This window comes from Homo sapiens, chromosome 6 (assembly GCF_000001405.40).
Source record: "Homo sapiens chromosome 6, GRCh38.p14 Primary Assembly".
Lineage (NCBI taxonomy): Eukaryota > Metazoa > Chordata > Mammalia > Primates > Hominidae > Homo > Homo sapiens.
In genome coordinates, this window is record NC_000006.12 from 44185727 (window position 1) to 44192006 (window position 6280).

The 6280-nt window shown below is 45.4% G+C and overlaps 1 long non-coding RNA gene across 1 annotated transcript; it reads left to right on the plus strand.

The window, feature by feature from the left end:
• On the plus strand, nt 257-4215 carry LOC105375072 (uncharacterized). The gene is made up of 3 exons (XR_926835.2): nt 257-332; nt 1082-1154; nt 3983-4215. It is a non-coding gene; the product is annotated as an uncharacterized LOC105375072 (long non-coding RNA).

A 6280-nucleotide genomic window follows, 5' to 3' on the forward strand; every position in this document is an offset into this window, starting at 1 on the left:
CTATATAGAAGTAACTTGCCTTGCTGAGAATTAAAAAGAAAATTAAAAAAAAAAAAGAAATTTGTTGCTTGTCAAGCTACTGTCCTTGCAGGAGGCATGGAAGAAACACTTATTTCTGGGTCCACCTGTTTTTGACCTCGGGGTCTCTGTCCCAGGTGCCCACACCCCAACTCCAGCCCCAGCCCCCTGCAGTAGTGAGAACACCCAGGCCACTCACAGCAGCCCCTAAACTGTACTTCTCCTCCTGTCCTTCCAGAGCCCTCCACAGCCTCCCCTTCTGGTTTCTGGCAGGGACACTGGAGCCCAAGCACATGCGCTTCTCAGCCTCTCAGGTAGAGACAGCACCCCCAACTTCCCCTAGATTAGAGATCTGTCATCCCCAATGAAGCTAAACCCTTCCTGTCTCTGTGTACCTGTGCAGCTTCCTGGGGTCGCTAGCTTCCTTCCACGTGCACTAAACCCAGCCCTTGTGTGCTTAGTGAGGCAGGTGGGATTCTGATCTTCCTTAATCTGGTGACTGATTGTCTGCACCAGCCCTGGCCCCTGCCTTCTTTGTGACTTCAAAGACTAAAGCTAGTCTGCCTGGATATAAAGCCGCCTTCCCTCCATTATCACCACCCCACGCCGCCTTCAGAGGAATCGTTTCCTGTCCTGTCAGCCCTCCCTGCTTCCTCTCCGTCTCCAGTCCTGCCTGAAAGAATAGGTCACACTCTCTTTGGAGCCTCTTTGAAAGACTGTTCTCCCACTTGTCGTCCTCCCTCTCTCTCTAAGAGATGGCAGCCACCACCTGCTCTCCACAGAGCTTCTCTGAGTGATGAGCAAAAGTCCCCAGAGAGAGCAGGGAGAGGTCAGTGAGAGCCTCAAGCTAACAGGTCCATGCTGGGCATGGTGGCACATGCCTGTAATCCCAGCTACTCGGGAGGCTGAGGAGTTTGAGACCAGCCTGGGCAACACGGGGACTCCATCTTTTAAAAACAAAAACCTAGCAGGTCCTTTGAGACTCTGAGAGGTCCCGGGCAGTCCGGATTGGTTCTGGGAACCCTAGGAAGATGCTGACCCCACCTCTTGTTCCATGGCCTAGGGTGAAATGCTGCCAACTTCAAGCCAGGATGGAAAGGAAGCAGAAAACTCTCAAATCAGGACTATCCCTTCCGGTTTGTAACAAAGCTGGTTACTCACGAACACTCTGTAAACATAAAATGAAGCAAACTTCACATAAGTAGAGAGTTTATTTGGGCTAAACTTAAGGATTGTAACCCTGGAGAATAGATTCAAATTATTCTGAATATACATCCCGATTAGCAGCAGTTACAAGTGGATTTTTAGGCTGGGTACAGTGGCTCACACCTATAACCCCAGCACTTTGTGAGGCTGAGGTGGGCAGATCACTTGAGGCCAGAAATTCAAGACCAGCCTGGCCAACATGGTGAAACCCCATCTCTACTAAAAATACAAAAAATAGCCAGGCGTGGTGGCACACGGCTGTAGTCACAGCTACTCGGGAGGCTGAGGCATAAGAATCGCTTGAACCCGGGAGGCGGAGGTTGCAGTGAGCTGAGATTGTGCCACTGCACTCCAGCCTGGGTGACAGAGTGAGACTATCTCAAAAAAAGAAAAGAAAAAGTTAGCCAGGACTGGTGGCGCACACATGTGGTCCCAGCTGTGTGGGGAGCTGAAGTGGGAGGATCACTTGAGTCCAGGAGGTCGAGGCTGCAGTGAAATGTGATCATGCCAATGCACTCCTGCCTGGGTGACGGAGCGAGGCCTTGTCTCAAAAAACAAAAAGGTTTTTGTTTTGTTTTGTTTTGGGGTGTGTGTGTGTGTGTGTGTGTGTGTGTGTCAGGGCCTCTCTTTGTCACCCGGCTGGAGTGCAGTGGCACAGTTTTGGCTTACTATAACCTCTGCCTCCCGGGCTCAGGTGATCCTCCTGCCTCAGCCTCCTGAGTAGCTGGGACTACAGGTGCACATCACCATGCATGGCTAATTTTTGTATTTTTAGTAGACACAGGGTTTCACCATGTTGGCCAGGTTAGCCTCAAACTACTGACCTCAAGTAATCTGCCCCACCGCCCACCCCCCCGAGCCTCCCAAAGTGCTGAGATTAAAGTCATGAGCCACTGTGCCCGGCCCAAAATGCATTTTTAAAGGTAAAAAAGGGCTGGGCATAGTGGCTCACGCCTGTAATCCCAGCACCTTGGGAGGCCGAGGCAGGCCGATCACGAGGTCAGGAGTTCTAACCTGCCCAACATGGCGAAACCCCGTCTCTACTAAAAATACAAAAAATTAGCCAGGTGTGGTGGTGGGCACCTGTAATCCCAGCTACTTGGGAGGCTGAGGCAGGAGAATTGCTTGAACCCGGGAGATGGAGGTTGCAGTGAGCCAAGATTGCGCCATTGTACTCCAGCCAGGGTGAGAGCGTGAGACTCCGTCTCAAAAAACAAAAAAGAAAAGAAAAGAAAGGTAAAAAAGGAGGACAGTGAGTGGAATGATACAAAGTTATTTGTTAGGAATTCTCACCGGTTTTCAGAAATAACATTGATTAGTTATTGGCTATAGTGTCTGGTGTCCCATTATTAGGATAATTTATAGCTACCTGTAGAAGTAGCAAGCAGTTTCAAGAGATGAATACATAACTTAAAGGGGAGTGCAGGGTATAGGGTGCAATTGTGTGTCATGTTACTGTCTCTCTGGGTCTGATAATTAAAAGGATTTGCATTCCTCAGATAAAAGTTATTTTTATTTTATTTATTTTTATTTTTTTGAGACAGAGTCTCTCTCTGTCGCCCAGGCTGGAGTTCAGTGGCGCGATCTCAGCTCACTGCAACCTCCGCCTCCCAGGTTCAAGCGATTCCCAGGCCTCAGTCTCCCAAGAAGCTGGATTACAGGCACCTGCCACCTCACCAAATAAAAGTTATTTTCTTTTCCCAACAATTTGCATAGTGGCTTAAGGTGAAGATTCACGAGCTATGTGTCTTTGGGCAAATTATTTTACCTTTCTAACAGAGTATCCTTTTGAATCTGTCAATTAGAGGTGACAATTCCTATCTCAGAGGGCTGTTGTATGGACAACTGCGATAATGAAAGTGAAGCACTTAGGCATATCATTCTTTTTTAAAAAAACTTTGATATTATCTATAATAGTAAAAAAATAAAAAAAACAAATTTTCAATTGTGAACATGTTATAGCCAGGAGTGGTGTGGGTCATGCCTATAGTCCTAGTTACTCGGGAGGCTGAGGCAGGAAAATTGCTTGAGCCCAGGAGTTCAAGGCTGCAGAGAACTCTGATCAAACCACTGCATTCCAGCCTGGGCAACAGAGGGAGATTCTGTCTCAAAAATAAATAAATAAATACACATTAGATGTTACACACGATAAAATATCAAGCCATTGAACTAAATAACACAAATGGCATGAGGGTTATGACATACAGTTGAATAAGCAAGATGCATATTAGATTTACAATAGTCCTTGACATTAGTGTTTACCATTTGCTTGCATTAAATATTATTAGCAATGGCTATATACAATGTTATTTAAAATTTGGAAAATGAGGCACACCATTCTTCTAGTCCCTTCAGGCTCCATTTCCATCCAACTTCACTGCAACTCCATCCCAGCTCAGCCTTAGTGCCCTGGGAGGCCATTCCCACTATGTCCTTGCTGTCTCCAAGGGACCTGTAACCACAGGCAGGCAGCCCATACTTTCTAGTCCCTTTTAGTCCTCTGCTCATAAAACCAGGTGGCTGAGTTTTGCTGGGAATGGGCACTAAACCATGCTGCCTGCATCCTCCTGATTCATGCTGGTTGACCTCGATGGAGGCCACGTGGCAAGCTAGATTTCTTCTCCTGATGACTGACTGCCATTCTCCACACCCACTGCCCTGATTTCCCCCAGACCTCTCACTACAGCCTTCATTTTTACTGCAAAGAATGAGGCTACATCAGAGAAACAGCCTCAACCCCACTTCTCTTCTCCCTCAGAATATCTTCGCAGCTTCATCCTCTGGTCTCTGAGAAAATTGGGTCCCAAATGTGCTTGAAAACCATGGAATGCCATGCAACAGAAGCAGCAGACTAGATGCCACCCAGCCACAGCTGTAGAGCCTGAGAAGATGCTGAGTGAAGAAAAAGTAAAGCAGGATGAGCTCATTAGCTTCTTTTGTTTTTTTGTGGTTGCTTTTTGTTTGTTTTGTTTAGGTACAGGGTCTCCCTCTGTCGCCCAGGCTGCAGTGCAGTGGTACAATCATGGCTCACTGCAGCCTTGAACTCCTGGGCTCAGGTGATCTTTCTGCCTCACTCTGCCATGTAGCTGGGACTATGGGTGCACGCCAACATGGCCAGCTTTTTTTTTTTTTTAATTTTTTGTAAAGACAGTCTCACTGTGTTGCCCAGGCTGGTCTCGAACTCCTGGGCTCAAATGATCTTCTTGCCTTGACCTCCCGAAGTATTGAGATTACAGGCATGAGCAACTGTGCCTAGCCCAATAGCTAGCTTATTTTTAAAAGCAATTTTAAAATATATATCTTGGAGATATTTTTCTATTAGTATATAGAGAGCTTCCTTTTTTTTTTTTTTTTTTGAGTTGGAGTTTTGCTCTTGTTGCCCAGGCTGGAGTGCAATGGCGCCATCTCGGTTCACTGCAACCTCCACCTCCCGGGTTCAAGCGATTATCCTGCCTCAGCCTCCCGAGTAGCTGGGATTACAGGCACCCGCCACCATGCCCGGCTAATTTTTTATATTTTTGGTAGAGACGGGGTTTCACCATGCTGGCCAGGAATGGTCTTGAACTCCTGACCTCAAGTGATCTGCTCGCCTCGGCCTCCCAAAGTGCTAGGATTACAGGCATAAGCCACCGTGCCTGGCCGAGATCTTCCTTATTTTTTTTATAGCTGTATAGTATTGCACTGGATTAAAGTCTCGTTATTTAGCAGTTCTTTGTTGACAGTTTTTTCCAATCTTTCATTATTATAAATAGTGCTGCAATAAATAACACTATACATGTTATTTTATCCCAGTAAAATATTTTTATACAATAAATTTCTAAAAGTAGGATTATTGGGCTAAAGAGTATGTATATCAGTAATTCTGAAAAAAAGGAAATTCCCCTCTATAAGGGTAATACTAATTTGTACTCCCACAAGCAAGATAAGAGACTGCCGTTTTCCCCTACAGACTCATAAACACCGTGTGTGGGCAAGTTTTTACATATTTCTAATCTGGTAGAAGAAAAATGGTATCTCAGCATAGCCATAATTTGCATTTCTCTTACAGCAAATGAGATTGAGCAACTGTTCATTTTTTGCTTTTGCTTGCATTTTATTTTCTATGAACTATCTCTTTATATTCTTTGGGAACATATATGTTATATATATGAAATATATGTTATATATAACATGGTATATATGTTACATATATATGTGTATATATAACATATGTTATATATTAAATACATATATTATATGTAACATATATGTTATATATATGTTCCCAAAGAATATAGAGTTACATATTTTATATATATATATATACATTTTTTTTTAAAGGTCTCACTATGTTGCCAGGCTGGAGTATGGCAGCTATTTACAGGGGGGATCATCAGGCACTATAGCCTGGAACGCCTGGGCTCAAGTGATCCTCCTGCCTGAGCCTCTTGTCCTTGCCCATTTTTGTACTGGACATTTTTTTTCTTTTTCTTTTTCTTTTTCTTTTTCGAGACAAAGTTTTGCTCCTGTTGCCCAAGCTGGAGTGCAATAGTGTGATCTAGGCTCACTGCAACCTCTGCCTCCCATGTTCAAGCGATTCTCCTGCCTCAGCCTCCCAAGTAGCTGGGATTACAGGTGCCCACCACCACGCCTGGCTGGCTTTTATATTTTTAGTAGAGATGGGGTTTCACCACCTTGGCCAGCCTGGTCTCGAACTCCTGACCTCAGGTGATCAGCTCCCCCCAGCCTCCCAAAGTGCTGGGATTACAGGCGTGAGCCACTGTGCGCAGCCCGTTTTTGTTTTTTCTTATAATTTTTTTTTTTTTGAGACAGAGTCTCACTCTGTCTCCTAGGCTGGAATGTAGTTGCGGGATCTTGGCTCACTGCAGCCTTTGTCTCCTGGGTTCAAGCGATTCTCCTATCTCAGCCTCCCGAGTAGCTGGTATTACAGGCACGTGCCACCATGCCCGGCTAATTTTTGCATTTTTTAGTAGAGACAGGGTTTCTCCATGTTGGCCAGGCTGGTCTTGAACTCCTGACCTCAGGTGATCTGCCCACCTCAGCCTCCCAAAGTGCT